General features: G+C 57.4%; 1 protein-coding gene across 13 annotated transcripts in view, besides 2 other annotated features; it reads left to right on the forward strand.

Moving 5' to 3' along the window:
• Nucleotides 1-17,354, forward strand: part of ATP2B3 (ATPase plasma membrane Ca2+ transporting 3) — a 65,288-nt gene that overhangs the window by 40,821 nt on the left and 7,113 nt on the right. For 3 of the 13 annotated variants that reach the window (NM_021949.4, XM_024452386.2, NM_001388360.1), the window contains 5 exons: nt 1,267-1,480; nt 2,214-2,425; nt 3,673-3,780; nt 6,459-6,641; nt 11,141-11,294. In NM_021949.4, coding sequence (NP_068768.2) covers nt 1,267-1,480; nt 2,214-2,425; nt 3,673-3,780; nt 6,459-6,641; nt 11,141-11,294 — 871 coding nt within the window. Of the gene's footprint in view, nt 1-1,266; nt 1,481-2,213; nt 2,426-3,672; nt 3,781-6,458; nt 6,642-7,355; nt 9,740-11,140; nt 11,496-17,354 lie in introns of those variants that run through there. The other 10 variants (NM_001410708.1, XM_047442141.1, XM_047442142.1 and 7 more) reach the window with 4 other exon arrangements.
• Nucleotides 1,927-2,711: an enhancer, noted in NCBI's record as "H3K4me1 hESC enhancer chrX:152825847-152826631 (GRCh37/hg19 assembly coordinates)". NCBI's record gives its function as "activates a minimal SCP1, AML or CMV promoter by ChIP-STARR-seq in naive H9 embryonic stem cells {active_cell/tissue: H9 hESC(naive)}" and the evidence as "EXISTENCE:reporter gene assay evidence [ECO:0000049][PMID:30033119]".
• Nucleotides 7,094-7,706: an enhancer, noted in NCBI's record as "H3K4me1 hESC enhancer chrX:152831014-152831626 (GRCh37/hg19 assembly coordinates)". NCBI's record gives its function as "activates a minimal SCP1, AML or CMV promoter by ChIP-STARR-seq in naive H9 embryonic stem cells {active_cell/tissue: H9 hESC(naive)}" and the evidence as "EXISTENCE:reporter gene assay evidence [ECO:0000049][PMID:30033119]".

A 17,354-nucleotide genomic window follows, 5' to 3' on the forward strand; every position in this document is an offset into this window, starting at 1 on the left:
CACTCGAATTTGTAGGACATTCACCACGTTGTGCAACCATTGGCTCTATCTAGTTCCAGAAGATTGTCATCATCTTAAAAAGAAACCCTGTGCTCTTGAGCAGTCATTTCCCCATTTCTCCCCCAAACATCCCAGCCCCCGGCAACCACTCACAGGCTTCCTGGGTCTATGGATTTGCCTGTTCCGGACATTTCATTCCTATGGGATCAAATAATATGTGGCCTCTTGTGTCTGGCATCTCGCTTAGCACCGTGTTTTCAGGCTCACACACACCGTAGCATAGGGCAGGACTTTCTGCCTTTTCATGGCCTCATAACACTCCACGGCACAGACTGCCACATTATGTATGTCTGCCCTGATGGACACATGGCTCGTTCCCACTTTTTGGCTCTTGTGAATGGTGCTGCCAGGAGCATCTGTGTATGAGTTTCTGCGTGGGCTATGCGTCCCATGGGAACCCTTTCTCAACAGTCCCATTTTCCCCATTGGTGAGTGTCCAGATTTTCTTCACCCCGCCTTAGAAAGGGGGTGTTTAAATTGCCTGCTGATCAACTTGGTCTTTTCAAAACAATTTTTTAAATTGAGATAAAAAATCACATAACAAACTTCAACAGAACCATTTTAACCTTTTGAAAGTACATAACTCCGAGGTTTATATCCCTCCACTGTCTATTCCCAGAACATTCTCATCACCCCAAAAGGACACCCAGACCCCGTGAGCAGTCACTCTCTACTCCCCAAACCCCAGCCCCTGGCACCCACTCATCTGCTTTCTCTCTCTATGGATTTGTCAGTTCTGGAAGTTTCCTATGAATGGAATCAGACAGTACGTGGCCTTGTGTGTCTGGCTTCTGTGAGGCTGATTTTTAACGAACAACTCAGAGGAGCTGAGAAGGAAGGTCCAGTTCAGAGTTTCTGCCTCCTCCTGCCCCTGAGGTGCAGGAGACAAGGAGAGCAGCCCTCACTCTGTTGCCCCAAATGGCAGACCCCATCGTCGGGCTGTTTTGTGGTCTGGGGTTTTTCACCTCCTGCGAGGGATTTGGAGCACACCTGCTGCCAGGTGAGAGAAGGGAGGCGGGCACGTGACAGCCCAAAGAAAACGCCCCACTAGCGTAAAGGCGATGTAGGGATGGAGATGTCTGTTTTCATGGGCATGAAATCCTGGTGATGTGGACCCCATGAGGAGCCCCCAGGAGCTACTGGGTTTCCACCCCCAACCTTCCCGGGCAGGCGGCCCATGGAAAGGTGACTGCCTCCTCTCCATAGGACTCTCCTCTCAAAGCCGTGCAGATGTTGTGGGTGAACTTGATCATGGACACATTTGCCTCTCTGGCCCTGGCGACGGAGCCACCCACAGAGTCGCTGCTGCTGCGGAAGCCGTACGGCCGCGACAAGCCCCTCATCTCCCGCACCATGATGAAGAACATTCTGGGCCACGCCGTGTACCAGCTCGCCATCATCTTCACCCTGCTGTTTGTCGGTAGGCTGGCCAGGGGCACCCGGGAGGACTTCAGGACACTGTTGCCACCACCTCGGGCTCAGATTCTGTCTGGTGTGTCTCCACCTGTGTCTCCGCACCCAGTACGGGGTGGGACGCTGCACTTCCTGACTGGACAGCACACAGGGGAAGGAGCAGATGGGCCAGGCTAGCAACCCTGCAGCCAGGCCTGCTGGTGGCCTACAGCTCTTTCGCAAGCCTCTCCTCCCAGGCCGCTGAGCAGCTGAGAAACAGTTCATGTCTTGACATCCTGCCCACGGCTGTGTAGCTGTGTAGAGTAGGCAGCTTCTACCCAGCCCCAGAGTGGCCACGGTAACCCTAGGAACAGAACAGCCCACATTTACCCTGTGAAGATTGCTCCTGTGGAGTGACTGGGGTGCCGTGCTGGAAGCTGTGAGGTGGGTGGGGGGTGACCGCAAGAGAGAGGAAGAGGAGGAGGGCGTCCGAGGAAAGCCAGCCTTAAGAACTTCCCTTCTTAATCTCTTCCTTCCTGCCCTCAGGCTCAGGGTCTGGCCCCTGGCCCAGAGGGGTCTCAGGACTCTGGTTGGTTGAGCCTGGGGTGGGTGTGGCTGCCTTGGGCCTTGGCCGTGAGCTGGAAGTGGCCATCCCCTGGGACAAGGGACCCATCTCGGGAGCTACACACCGAAGTCTCGCTCCTGAGTAATGCGTCATGCGCTGAGATGACTGTGCCTGAGTGGGGAATGTTGCTTTCCAGGGGAGCTCTTCTTCGACATCGACAGCGGGAGGAATGCGCCCCTGCACTCGCCACCCTCAGAGCACTACACCATCATCTTCAACACGTTCGTCATGATGCAGCTCTTTAACGAGATCAACGCCCGCAAGATCCACGGCGAGAGGAACGTGTTCGACGGCATCTTCAGCAACCCCATCTTCTGCACCATCGTTTTGGGCACTTTCGGGATTCAGGTAGGAGGGGCGGCTCCACTCTTGGCCTCTGCCACTTGCAAAAAGTGGAGGTGGTGGGCTTCAAGACCCCTCGTCCACCCCTAGTACTGGCCTCCCCACCTCCACTCCCAGAAGGAGCCCCACCCCACCTGGCTTTCCTGTAGCCCCCGTCCTCTCTGCATGTCGGAGAGGGCCTTCTTCATCTTCCAAACATTGCCGGCCTTGCCCTGGGTGAGCGCGCTGGCTTCCAGAAGGGTTTCGTGAGCCCTCATCGGAACGAAGTTTTCTCACAGATGCTGGAAGGAGTCCTCCCTGGCTCCCTCTAGGTCTGCCATTCCCATTTCTAGCACTTAATTCCTTGGCATGAGGCTGCCATAACTCCAGAAGTTTCTTTTGGAGATGACCTCTGTGCCCAGTGCTGACACACTAACCTCTGCTTCCCACAGTGCTGTGGACAGGCTGGTCAGCCCCACTGTCTAGGAGGGGCTAAGTGTTCTAAAATATAGTGTATTTGTAGAAAAATTGAGGTATAGTAAGGCCAAAAGGTCAAGAGACAGTTGCCACTGAAAGACAGTTTATGACTCAGAGACCCCAAGAGGAGGACACATGCCACACCATAGGGGCCCACATGGGAGAGCGCCAGGCAGGAGGTGGGGTGTGAGAGCTGTGGACAAGAGCCTTTGCTGTGGTTCCCTCGGGGAGGAGCAGGTGAGGCAGGGCTGGTAGGCTCAGGACTGGCTAGGTTGCGTCATTGCAGCGGTTCCAGGGCATACGGGTGCTCCCTGGCTGTCTGGTACCTGGTCCTGGGTAATGAGTGCAAGGGGATAGTGGCCCGGAATGTGACAGTCCAACAGAGGACGGGGTCAGTTTGCATTTGGACAGCTTGCCCCTGCAAATTGGATGCCTCCCGAGGAGGCAGGAGGCCAAGACAAGGTGACCTCGGCAGGTTCTAGGGTCCTCCAGAATGAGGCATGTCCAGCGTGCCCGCAGGGTGGGTGTCACAGCCTCCGTCTTGCTGAAAATAGGAGCATGGTCAGTGGAGCTGGGCCCCACTCCGAGGCTGGAGTCAGTAGGTGCCTGGCACCCAGGGGCGCTGGGGGCCATGCACTGCTCTGTCATCACGCCCCCGGCCTTGTGGTCCTCTCGCAAGGAGCAGCCCGTGCAACTGGGGGAACCAACCAGGGTGGCTGGGTCTTCAAGGGGTTGGAGGACAAGGGTGGCTCAGGAGCCGCGGCTGGACCTGCCTCTCTCCCACTTGCCCTTCGCAGATTGTCATCGTCCAGTTTGGCGGGAAGCCCTTCAGCTGCTCCCCACTATCCACAGAACAGTGGCTCTGGTGCCTGTTTGTTGGTGTTGGGGAGCTGGTCTGGGGACAGGTGAGTGACAGCCCTGCCCCTCATTTCAGACTGCCCTGCAGACAGCTTCTGTGATGGGCCCACTTGCCCTAACCCTGCTTCAGAGCCTTGGGGTCCTCACCCTAGGAAGCACACTGAGGGCTCAGGCCTGTGACACACCAGGACCCAGGGACAGGACGCAAGGGAAGGTGTCAGCAAAAGAATGCAAAGGAACATGGCTGGGATGTGACAGGGCCCAGGAAAACTGCCCGCAGCTCCCCTTTCTATGATAAGAGCCAAAAATTGCCCCTTCCAATTGGGTGGGTAGCTTGGGAAATCCCCACATATTTTAAATCAATCAAACAGCACCCTGATCAATAATCCATGGGGCGAAAAGAAAGTCTCCAGAGAAATTAGGAAATATTTTGACCTGATGGAAAGGACAGAGAGTCCCACATCGAGCTCTGTGGGCTGCAGCTGAAGCCGCACACTGGCAGGTTTCTAGGACCCCACAATTAGATCAGGAAGAAACAGCCTGGGTATTTAGGATCCGCTTATCTCTGTCTTCATCAGCTCCGACTGCCATAGCAAAATACCATAGACTGGGAGGCTTAGACAACAGACACTTACTTTCTCGAAGTCCCGGAGGCTGGATATCCAAGGCCAGGGAGCCAGCGGGGCCAGTTCCTGGTGAGGGCTCCTTCCTGGCTTGCAGACAGCCGCCTCCTCACTCTGTGCTCACATGGTGGACAGAGGGAGCAAGGTCTCTGGTGTTTCCTCTCCTAGGAGCATTAATCCAGTAGGATCAGGGCCCCACCTTGGTGACCTCATTTAACCTTGATCACTTCCTTACTCCAAATCCAGCCACACTGGGCACTAGGACTTCAACACATGAACTGGAGAGCACAGTTCAGTCCATAGCATTCTGGCTTTTCCTTTTTTTTTTTTTTTTTTTTTTTGAGACAGGGTCTTGTTCTGTTGCCCAATGTGGAGTGCAGTGGTACAATCACAGCTCACTGTAGCCTCGAACTCCCAGGCTCAAGTGATCCTCCTATCTCAGCCTCCCAAGCAGCTGGGACCACAGGCACATGCCACCACACCAGGCTAAGTTTTGTATTTTTTGTAGAGATGTGTTGTGCCATGTTGCCCAGGCTGGTCTTGAACTCCTGAACTCAAGTGATCTGCCTGCCTCAGCCTCCCAAAGTGCTGGGATTACAGGCGGGAGCCACCATGCTCGGCCTGGCTTTTGTTTCTTGATCTCTGTGCCGGCCACAGGGGCTGCTGCAGCTGCTGCAGATGCCAGCCTTCTTGCTGGCCCCAGCATTAGTGTCCTCGGGGACAGCCCACCCAGTTCCTGTTTCATTTTCAGAATTCTCCTTTCCCTCTGCTACTGCACCTCACCTCCGAATCACACTTGAACCTGGTTGCTCCATGGAGTCCCTTCACTTCCCGAAACCTGGACTCTAACCACAGCCCAGAGGGGTGCCAGGCCCTCTTCTTGCTCTTCAAGCTCCCAGGCCACTGGCCTTCTGGTCCCCCCAGGAATGTGGCACCAGCCTGTAGCTCGGCCTCTCAGGGCTACTGGGTTGTCCTTTTCATTTTTAACCTTGTTCAGTTACAAAGATAAAACATGTTCAAGAGAAAAACGAAAAGAAGGGAATCTCTGTGAACCAGTCCTCAAGTCCCCTCCTGGCCATGTTCGACAAATACACTGGCATAGACACACAAGACAGACGAGACGTCTTGCTCTAGAACTCCAGATGCCCATCATCCCTTTCTGTGGCTTCCCCTGCGTCCTTCTAGACTGTTCCCCCCACTTCCCAGTGGCCTACAATATGCGAAGCCATGCCCTCTCTTTACTCCTGCCAGGCTCCTTATCCAGTCACCCTTTCCAGCTGTCACCCTCCTTGTCACCTCCCACCCTCTCTAGCCCCCAATGCACAGGTCTTCTCTAGGCTGGTGTTCCTCCAGGAGATGCCCTCTCCAGGAGAGACTAGGCCAGAGCTCCAGCTGTCCTCTCCCAGGGGAGTTGCGCAAACAGCGCCTGTGTCTCCCAGCAACGGTGTGGAGCGACATGCAGGGAGTATTGTCAACCAGGGCAGCTCACCCAGGCCCCGGTGTCCAGGGCTTTTCTTGCGGTGGTTCACAGAGCCATGCTGTGGTCACGTGGCTGGCCTCCATCTCCAGCCCTCTGGAGGTCCAGCTGTTAGTGTAGCCTACGGGGCACGGTCCCCAGCCCCCTGCCCCACTGAGCCATGCTGCTCTCAAGCAGGATGTTCCAGGGGCTTAGCGATCCCTCCCAGGAGCCCTTGCTGCACCGCGTTCCACTCGGGCCACTCCCTGGGCCCTTTGGCTGAATGGAGCTCCATGGAGGATCCGCTTATCTCTGTCTTCATCAGCTCTGACTGCCATAGCAAAATACCATAGACTGGGAGGCTTAGACAACAGACACTTACTTTCTCGAAGTCCCGGAGGCTGGCCCAGAGCTCCACGTACTCCTGAAAATGCATCTCAGCCCCCCGGGGGAACACTACGCCAGTTCTCCAAGGGCTGCCAGTTCCCGGGGGGACTGCTCTAGCTTTACTCCCTTTGCTTAGTCACAAAAACAAATGACATCCTTTGGAAGAAGGAGGCCGGCGTCTCCCTCTGGAGAGGGACCTTACACCAGGCAGATGCTGCTCAGCCTGGCTCTCACGGCCACTTCCGTGTGGCTCCCCCAGGTCATTGCCACCATCCCCACCAGCCAGCTCAAGTGCCTGAAGGAAGCCGGGCACGGGCCCGGGAAGGACGAGATGACCGACGAGGAGCTGGCCGAAGGCGAGGAAGAGATCGACCATGCCGAGCGGGAGCTCCGCAGGGGCCAGATCCTCTGGTTCCGGGGCCTGAACCGGATTCAGACGCAGGTAAGCCCCGACTCGCTCTCGCCCTGGCACTTCCACCCCAAGAGGGTAGAGGCAAGCTGGCCAGCAGCAGCCGAGAGCCGGCCGTCTGCACCCGACACCCACAGGGAAACCCTTTGGTCTTGCTGCCAAGGTCACAAAAGCAGCTGCCAGTGTCCCCTTTGCCATTCCGGGCTGTGCCCGCTGATGGCTGTGGCACTGAGATCGCCTCTCCCTGACAGCTCCTTCAGAGCCCAGGCATCCCCTGTAGCTAAAGGTGTGTGTGGGTGACTAATGGCTCTCTCAGAGGCACAGGCCAGCACCGTCCTCATCACTGCTGGGGCTCCCTTCACTTGGTGGGAACGGCCCCAGGTCATAGGCAAGTGACAGTATCGGGAAGAGAGGCCCATTTCAAACAGCCACCAGCGAGCTCAAGGTTCACTGGTTGACACTGTAAATGCGATGGGGAGACTTCATTTGGGAAGTGGACTCTGGCCACCGAGTTGGTCCTTTCTGGTCATCCAAATCACCAAGGGTTAGGGCCGGCCAAGACCAAGGGCGTCAGCTGTGTTCCTCTCTGAAGTCAGATGGCCACCACTGCCACCAGTATCAGGCGCTTGCCAGAGCTACCATGCTCCCTTGTTCCCATCTCCTCCCGGCCAACAGTTTTGCCAGAATGCTCCAGACTCGCTGTGTCTCCACACCCCTCCCTGGAACTCTCTTGTGATCCCACTACAGCCTGGCCTCTGCCCACCACTCCCCAGAAACGGCGCTCGCCTAGGCCTGCGAGGCTCCCTTCCGGCTCGTGGGGTCGGGCTGTCCCTGCATCGTTCCTGCCTGCTGTGGGCACTGCCTGGAGACTTGCTGTCCTCACCCGCCTGGCACCCCCACCTCCTGCTCAGCCCTCGCCCCACCCTGCTGTGGCCCTTGAGTGCTGAAAATCCTGGCCGGGGAGGAAGAAAGGGCCCATGGGGACCCCACCTGCGGCCTGGCCCCTCTCCCACCGCAGCCCCTGCAGCCTCTCCTTCATGGCCTGCCCCTCCCCCAGCAGCCTCCAGAGGGCCACCCAGCATGCTTCACACTCCACCTCCTTCTGCAAGGCCTGGGCCACCATCTCTCAGGTCACAGCCATCACTCCCTGCCCCTCCAGGCCCTGTCCAGGATCCCCAGTTGCAATGCCCCTGACATGGAGCGACTGACCCTCCTCCCTGAGGTCCTGCCAGAGTAAGGACACCACTGCACACTTGGCTGCGGAGCCAGGGCCCGCCTGAGCCACCAGCCCCAGCTCAAGCGGGAATAGGCGGGGCCTGAGGCCACACCCCTTCCCAGGGTCAGTCACACATCACCAAGGGCCTGTCCCAAAGAATCATCCATGCAACTTGCACAAAGCTGTTCTTGGTGCCCTGGGTCCTGTGTTCCCTCCCAGTGGTCTCAAGGGCCGAGTCTCAAGGGACCCAGCCTCAGGGCAACCCCACTCCCTGGGCCTCAGCCTCCTTTGCTTGCCTTGGCTCAGCTCAGCCCCTCCAACACCACCCTCTGCAGTGGGACTGGTGGAGCCTCTCTCCATTGTCCTAAGGATGAAGTCTACGCTCCTGACCATGGCCTTCAAGCCCCTGCCTCTTGGTGTCACCCCAACCTTCCTGCACACCTGCACCCCTGCACCCCCGGCTGCCTTTCCAATCATGCCCTCTGCCCGCCTGTGCCACTGCACCTCCCCAACTCCCGCTGCGTCCCCTGGGCCCTCATGCTTACAAAGCCCTCTTTGACTCCTCTCACTCTCACCACGGGCTCCTTGCAAAACTTTCCAGAGCTACAGAGTCCCCCAGAGACCACGATCACGCAGGGCTAGGTCAAGGGGCAACAAAGAACTCCACATTTCAAGAGCCCCCCAGGGGTCCAAGGGGCCTCTCCAGCTGAGAACCGGGAGGCGAGGCTGGCATCCTAGGCACCGAACACAGCGTAGCCTGGGAAGGATGTGTTAGGTCTGGACTCTGAACACTGTCACCTATGCCCTGGCCTGGCCAGAACACAGAGAGCCCCGGTGAGGAAGGGGAGCAGGCTTTGTCGCCAGATGGCCTGCGTCTCCCCTCCCACGTGCAGGGGCTACTGCCTCAAGCACAATGCTCGGACAGGCCAGGGGTGCAGCACAGATAGTCTGTTCTCGTTCCCTGCAATAAATATTTCTGCGCTAAATCTTAAACACATCGAATGTTAGAAGCAGCATTCACATCTCCCCCAGTGCCCTCCTAGCGGCCCAACTGTGCCTTCTACGAGACCATGCCTATGGGCCCCCCAGCTGCCCCCAGATGGGCTCTTATCTATCGTACCCCTGTTGTGCTACAGAGCCCAGAGCTGCCCAAGCCTGGGGTGGGGGGTGAGGACAGCAGGACCTTGCCCCTCGGCGGCCCACTTCACTCCTGCCGCCGCAGCCGAAGGCGACGTTAGGTTTTCCAGCAGCTGAGACAACAGCCCTGCCCTGACCTGAAGCATCAGTGGTGTCAGTGGTACCCCGGCCACCTGTGTGTCTCGTGTCCTCTGTATGTGGGGGCCGCTGCAGCCTGGCTAGTAGAAGCGAGTCCCATCGGTCAGAGTCTTAGAGTTCCAGGCTGTTCCAATTGTCGGTGCTCACAGAGACACGGGCAGCTGAGTCCCCTGTTTTGCGTATGAGGAAACAGGGTGCACTCTTTCCCCTTGGCACCAGCCGATCCGACTCTTCCACGGGCTCCTGACCCCCATGGCTTTTCGCTTTGACTTTGTCACATCCAACTCACCATGTTTCTCAGGAATGCTGAACCAGTCGGTTCTTTTAGCCAGCTATGTAAGAGCATCTGCTCTCTTTGATTCGAAACACCTGCTTGAAAAATGGAGCTAAAGCTTGGGAGAAGCCCGTCAGGTTGTACGTATGCCCCAAGCCAAGAAAAACATTTCCTAGGCAGCTGGCCCCAGGTTTCTGCTTTTTGGGAACCACAAAATCGCTCCCCAGATTTTGGAGGCCGGCACAAGCTTTTCTGTTGCTAAGTGAAGGCATTTTGTAACCTGCTCGCACCATGGTTCCATACTAACATATCAACGCACCAGATGGACAGGGTGTCATTCCAGAATAAAAGAGTCCTTCAAACCCAGAACATGTAGCTTTCTGAAGCGCTCATGACTCGGTCTGTCTTTTTTGCATCCCATTATAATGCAAAGAGAAGCTTCGTCAGCAACTGGGCCTTGCTCCCGGCTCAGCTCTTGGGCTTCCAGGTGTGGGGTGGTGGCGACTGTGGTATTGTCACTGATGTGGCTCTCCCACTGGGACACCATCTGTAGCCAGGCCAGACCAATGCAAATCTGAGGCAGGAAAGGCATCTTTCCTATCCCTCATCACTTTTGCCGCAGCGAGAGTCCTCTCCTGAATCTAGACAGGAGACCCCCCACCCCGCAAGCCACCGCGACGCCATCACATCAACCATCCTCCTTCCGTGCGCTGACACACTCAGTATGCATTCCTCACGGTCGCAGCAAGTGCCATGAGGTTCCCCTTGTGACAAGCAAGCGAGTGGGATGTGCTGGGCGGAAGGGGACTGGGCAGGCTGAGAAGAAGGAGGAGTCCTTTCCACAGCGCGTCAAAGGCTGAAGTGGCGTACATCCTCATTTTGGCCGGTGCAGGGGGAGTCTGAACACTCAAGCTGCCTTCTTCCACGAAGCCCTGGCCCGTTTCAAGACACCCAGGTGAACCTGGTGGCCACCACATAGCACTGCAGGGCTCGGGCTGGAGCAGGTAGCTTTGGGCTCCAGATGCGCACACTGGCTTTGCTGTTCACATCATCTCCAGTGAGACGGACATGAGTCCCCATCCCAGCCAAGGGCAGGTCAGGAAATCCAAAGACACTGGGTCAAGGCCCTCCTGCAGGCCTCAGTTTCCCCAGCCTTGCTTCCCCTTCAATTTGCAGGAAGCTGTAAGAGTGGGGACAAAGCGAAGCCACGGCTGCCAGTCGGTGGGAAAACCCCCTCCTCCGCTAGGTCCATTCTTCTGCTGAAGTTTCGAGGGGGCGCCCCCTGCCCAGTCACTCAGATGAGCCACAGAAGCTGGCGGAGACGGGCAGGCGGATGGAGCATGGGGCATAAGTCCTCCGGGTTTAGAGGAAGCAGGGCGGGTTCTAATAGGAGCGTGTCATGTCCCTCAGGTGTGTTGGAGAGGAAAAACAAGGTTGAGAACTATGAAGTACTTCCTGATAAGTGGCTTGCAAGGGGCATTTCTGACATGTTTGCAGTGTGCCCTGACTTGTGACCCCCTTCCCTTCCCAATCTCATGACCACTAACCATCTGCTCAGCAAACCCTCTCTCGGTGGGTGGCACAGAGGCTGGCCTCAGTCAGGGCCCTGTCCAAACATCGCCAGCTCCCAGTGAGCGGGGTGACCCGATGAGGCTTTGCTGTCACCCTATGTGCCCAGTGGTGGCCCCTATCCTCGCCCAGCCCTCCCCTCCGTGATAGCCTGGACAACAGTGCAAGCCAAACTTTATCTCATTTTCTCTCCCACAGATGGAGGTAGTGAGTACCTTCAAGAGAAGCGGTTCAGTTCAGGGTGCTGTGCGCCGGCGGTCTTCGGTCCTCAGCCAGCTTCATGACGTAACCAATCTTTCTACCCCTACTCACGCAATTCTCTCTGCTGCCAATCCTACCAGTGCTGCTGGGAGTGAGTCTTGACTTCCCTTTTCTCTCATAAATGGCATCTCTGGGGAAGAATAAGCCTCCCCAGCTCGGCCTTCTCTCTTTTGCAGTCTTGCATTCCGCTCACCGTGGCTTTTCTGTTCTTTCTTTACCGCCCTGTCCAGTCCTTCCCGCCCAGACGGTGTCTCTCGAAAGCCATATTCTTTTATGAAACGTATTCAACCCATGGCACTTCCGGACCTCCCGTTCTTTGCTTTGTTTGGTTTTTCGGTTTGTGTTTAGTGCTCCTTGTGCCATTGGTTCTCTTTTCTTGAACTTGTCTGCCTTTGCCGATGGTTCTTCATGAACTTGGGCCGCTTCTGGGGGTGTCTGGTGTCAGGCTAGGGCCTTGCTCAGTGTTCAGTGGTGCAGCATCAGGGCAGCACGCGGGCTCAGGGCCGCCTTCCCGGGGCTGGAGGGGTGGCGGGTGCCTTTCCCACACTGTTTGCCACAGAAGAATCTAGCCCACGTACCCAGGAACTGGAGCGGCGCTTCCAGCATCCTCCTTGAAGTGGTTTCCTAAGGATGCCGCTGTCACCTGTCCCCAGGTGGGCTCAGTGCTGACCAATCACTACTGCACAGGTGGTGCCTGCCCTGTAGGCCTTGCCCCAAGCCACCGGGTGTTAGAGGTTTCCCCAGAACTGGCACTCAGAGGCCTCTTCAAGACGTTGCCAGGAAAATTTCCCACCATGTTGGTCACAGTTTAAAGAGAACCCAGGGGCTGTCCTAAGGAGGTAGAAACTTCCAGAATTGCTCACATCTTTTTACAAAGACAAAGGGAAGGCCACTCCACCGCTGACCCCACTACCCTGATGGGAGAGAATGCAGGGAACCCAGTGGGCCCAGCCAGGCAGCCTGCTTTTTCCAGCAAACTCAAGAGAGTTTATACACCAAAGAGTAAACTTTCGCGCGTGGGCCCAGGGCCTTTGCCAGGATGGTTCTATGCTACCTCTTTCCTTTCCTTCTAGCAAGCCCCCGAAGCGCTCCCCTCTGCCAACACGAACACGCCACTCCCCTGCAGGTGGGAGTCCTTAACCACGCCTTTTTCCATCACAGACTCTTCCAGCTTGATTGCTTTTCTTTTCCTTTCTTTTTTTTTTTAGGAACTGGTGAGAGGTCCCTGGTGGGGGTCACCCCTCCTCTTGCATAAGCTGTCATTTTGGGCCACTCTGTCCTTTAAGGAAGGGAGGAGGCCCATCCTGTCCCCCTTGGGAACAGAGCACGTGCGCGCGTACACACACACACACACACACACACACACACACACACTCCTTCTCCAAACCACAGGCCACGTACACCTCCAGCTTGCTCCACACTCATCATGGGGCCACCTACCCTTGTCACAAATATTGGCTGACACCGTGGCAGTTGGGCTGAAAAGCAGTCGGCGCCTCCAGTGCCCTAGACGTGGGCCCAAAGGGGCCTCGCCGCCACTCCACCCAGAGAGGCGGACAGGAGGCTCTGCCAAGTCAGTTAAAGCCAGAAATGGTTCGTGGCCTCCCAGCACCTTCCTTCCTGGGAGCTGAGGGCAGCAGGGGGCATGGCTGTGCCTCCGCCTCCCTCCCCCTTGACTTCCTCCGTATGTCTCTTTGCCATCTCTCTCTGTGCTTCCTGTCTGTCTGTCCATTTGCCCATTTGTTGAGTTAAGGGGAAGGCAGCCACCACGGCCCCACTCCACGCGTTCCTCGAGCCTTCTCCACAGCTCTGGCCTCATCCCACCCCAGGACCAGCTCCTTGTCCCTCTCCAGGTCCAGCCCAGCCTCTGTGGGGCCTGCTGTCTTTTCTCCCTCTGGATTCCTCCTGCTTCCTCCCTGGGGCAGCCTCTTGCTCCTCTCTTCCTTGGCTCCTAGCACTTCCTTCCTGCCTTCATTCCGTGGCCATCTGTCCCCCTCCTCCCCACCTCCGGAGCCTGGCAGTGCGGGGTAAGTAGAGTGGGAGAGACGCCACCCCTCCTGCTGTTCACAAGCTATTCCATGGGGGCCCTAAGTGGCGGATAGCCAGAAGGAGGGCAGCTGTCCCTTGCACACTGTGTGCTCCAGCAGAAGGTGGGTGGCAGGGCCCTCTGAAGAGGCCCATCCCAGCTGAACATCAGCATCCCAGAAAGGACTCTGCCGTGGAGGAAGATGCTGGCTGGGGACCTGGCAACACCAAGGACATGCCCACTTCTGGAAGCCACCTGCCAGAACCACCTCCTGCCATCATCACAGTGCAGCGGATTGGTTTAGAACTCAGAACCCAACCCCCACTCCACGCTTCAAGGACCCCAAGCAATCACCAAGCCCAGCACTCTCATCCTAGAGATCAGGGGAAGGAGGTTGTCCCCAAGGGCCAGGACCTGCACTGGGTCCCATAAGCAGCCAGGCCTGGCAGAGTGGGGACTAGCACCAGCGCCCACCCTCTACTTGGAACTTTCTGGTGGATGAGAGATGCTCTGAAGGCTGTGACGGAGCTCCCCTAGACAAGAGGGCTGCCCCAACTAGGCCTGCAGGGGCGTCGAGTCACGTGGTTTCCTAAGGCAAGCCCACAGTTTCCCATCCTCTTTGCCTGCTCCAGGCCAGGCTGCCTTTCAGCCCACCAGGAGTCTGGGGCCTTTCTGGGCACTGGAGCTGCCTCCGTCCCAAGCCTTTCCTACTAAGGACCTCAGGTCCTCCAGAGAGAAGGGCCGGTGGTTGGTAGCATGACATCCCCTCACCCTGTGCCCCTGGGGCCAATGCAGGAAGTAGCAAGGGGGTGGCTAGGAGGGGTCGAGAGATTTGGGATCGCTGGGGCTCAGTGCTCACACACTCGAGCCCTCCCCACCCTGTCTAACCTCCCACACCTTTGCTGCTTCTGGACTCAGGAGTCCCAACACAGGCCCCATATCCCTCCTCTGCATGCATTGTCAGACTGTGCCGGCCACAACTTCTGACCCCCAGCTCCAGGCAGCCTCCACTGCCCCTCCCCTGCCCAGCCTGGTGACTACCCCACACCATGCCCCAACCACACACTCACACACCGAGGCCACAGTATCACCCTCCCTGTTGGGTGTCCATATTCCGGAGAGCTGGTCAGGGACAGCTGGTTCAGTCACTCGGGTCTACCAAGGGCAGCAGGCACAGGGGGCTGCGCGTCTGCCACTAGGAGGCACGGGAGGGTGCGCGATCATTTGGAAAGCCCCATCAAAGCCACTTGAGAGGCCTTTTATGTCTGTTTTCCACTGGGACACACAGACAAACCCCAGCCACGCATCCAAAGTCTATCCTTCCAGCAGCGCCACACCAGGCCTGTGTGAGATGCTTACTGTTGGAGTCGTTCCTGAGATGCCTCCTGACCTGGCCCAGCAAAGGAGCAGGGGTTAGGCAGCAGGCCATGAGTCTGGTCCCATGTGGCCACCGGGGGTCCCTCCGGGCCGTTTAGTTCCAGTTAATCATGCTGGAAACAGATCACAGCAGTTGCTTGGTTTTATTGGCTTTGGCAACATGAAAACCGTGTGGCCAAAGGGGCCAAACCGGGCCACGTGAGTCCCAGGCTTTCCCTGGACACTCCTTTCCAGGGCCCAGGGCGACATGCTCACCACACTCCCAGCCCCGTGGTGGAAGGAGTCTTGTTTTCTGGAGTTTGCTCCATTCTCAGGAAGGTCATGTGCTTTGAGCCAAGCCTCCCTACCTGGTTTCTGGGAACGGTGTATTGGCATTTTTTCTCAGATCTTTGACAGTCTGCACCCTGCCTCCATGCTGGAAGCAGTAGCAACCCTCCCCCAAGAGCCCTGCCCTAGGCTTTCCTGGAACCCTGGGCCCTACCACAGGGGAATGCCCTTCCAGGCAAACCCTAAAGTAGGCACCAGAACGCAGCCTAGGGCAGACCCCAGGACCCCTGGTCCAAGGCCCTCCCCATCAGGCACTCCGAGTGTGGACTCCCAAGCTGGGAACCTGGGCAGAGACCTCTCAAGACTAATTGGAGGTCCCGCAGCTGGATTCAGCCAGTACGGAGGCAAGGGCTCAGCTGGGCCTTCCTCCTGGGTCCTCTTTAGTCCGACCACCCGACACTGACTCGCCGCGCCCAGGTCAGTTCAGCTTGCTGGTGTTGGGAGCACAGGTCTAGGCTCACACGGTCCTGGGCATGAGTGTGCACACAAGGTGGGAGGCAATTTTCATGAAACTTGCCAGCTGCAAGCAGTTCTGGCTTGCCAACACACACACAGCCATGTCTTGTCTTTTCCGTTCTTTGGTTCAATTCCTTGGGGAAAGAGCCAGCTGTGGAGTTTGCATTTTCATTGTTCCTAATTCAAGCATGTGACATCCCCATGGGGTAGAAAGGGGCCTTCCCCTTGCTCTTCCCCCACATAGAGAAGTGAGGCCGAAGCCATCTTCTCCTCAGTGTTCAGGCTATCTGAGCTTGGCTTCTCATTGCCCGAGTTGACTGATGGTTCCTATTGCCACAGGCTCTTGAGGACACCTTTGTCTCGCTTTCAAGTTGTGATTCACCTTCACGCCTACAGGGGTTGTTTTGAGCCTGGAAACCCTAAAGTTCTTGACAAGAAGTTCCCCATGGGTCTCCCTGGCTGCTGTGTTCAGAATCTGCTCTAAATTCAAAGCTCAGATGCCTGGGGAGCTGACAGGTCCCTGCCTCCAAAGGAAGGTTCTGGACCAGTGGTTGGTGCTGAGCAGTGGATAGGTAGGGAGGAAATCGACCAGAAGCATCCGAGTTCTGTGAACCTTAGCGGCTGAGACTGAGCAGAGAGCATGGAGCCCCTCGGGTCGGCTGGTGCCCAGCACAGAGGCAGCAGGATAGGGCTTGTTTCTGCTTGAGGAATTAGAAGGAAGAGTGAGAAGGTGTCAGGCACAGCTTCTGTCGTTTCGTTGTCACTGCGGTCAGGAGTCTTTGCTTTGATTGTTCTCTTTTCCTTTCCTTTTTCTACTCTTCTCGGTCCTTCGCTTGTCTCCCTGCTTCTGCGGCCCTTCTCCACCCTCATCCTCCTCCCCAGCCCTGCACTGCAAACTCCAGCACTTGAAGGCTAACCAGGGGCACGTCTCCCCATGCACATGGCGGGCACCTCCACTCCAGCTGGCCGGCAGTGGCATCGCACATGGCACTCCACACCTGCACCCCTTCCGCTTTGGCTCAGTGTGGCCAGGGATGGGCCTTGTCAGTCTGCAGCGTCACCCGCCCTGTGTAAGGCTCAGAACTGCTCATCCACGCAAGTCGGGAGCCCGGGCCAAGCCCACAGCACTCAGCATGTCTCCTCTGGGCAGCTGGTAACAAACTGCCCGGGACAGCCTCTCTAAGGATGCGTACTTGAGCTAAGTTCAGAGGAAGGAGAAAGGCCAGCCAGGCAGCAGAAAGGGCAGGGGTCATGGCTCCGGGGAGCCCCTGCGTGGGGTGTTCAGAAACAGCTCCAGCCGGCTGGGCATTGCAAAGTGGGCAAAGAGCTATGGGGAGGGCCGAAGCCAGCACAGGAGGCTGGTGCAAAGCCGTGTGGGCCCCAGACATTCAGCCCCGTCCACTGAGCCCCTGCTGGGTGCAGCGAGCCAGACAGACAGACCCCTGCCCCAGGGGGATTACCTTCCAGTGAAAGGTGGATGGATGTAGGGGGCACTTGAAGGAAGGAGCAGAAGTGGGCACCATGCTGCTGGGGAAGACAAGAGTGAGGGGAGCCTTCCTGGTGTGGGGTGCAGCCACAGCAAAGGTCCCCAGGTGGGATGTGCCGGAGGCTGAGGGGTAAAAGAGGGCAGAGTGAGAAAGACTGGGGCCGGCTCCGAGGGCCACAGCCAGTGGAGGGCTTGTAGCGGGGGAGACCAAGACACGCTCTGGTTTTCGGGCCGCCGTGCTAAGGGCATGGAGGGGTGGGGGCGAAGTGCAGGTTCTGGATGGCGTTTGAAGGGAGCCACGGGGCTGGGGCCGGGGGGGTTGGGCCTGCTAAGTTTGAGACCCAGCTTAGATGCCCAAGTCTGGAGCCGGAGCCGAGAGGCTGTTAGCCGACAGGTGGAATGGAAGGCCGAGAGCCAGAAGAGAGTACCTAGACCCAGAGGAGGGGCCCTCGGGTGTCAGGGATGGGAGAGGAGGAGGG

The sequence above is a fragment of the Homo sapiens genome, chromosome X, assembly GCF_000001405.40.
Source record: "Homo sapiens chromosome X, GRCh38.p14 Primary Assembly".
Taxonomy (NCBI): domain Eukaryota; kingdom Metazoa; phylum Chordata; class Mammalia; order Primates; family Hominidae; genus Homo; species Homo sapiens.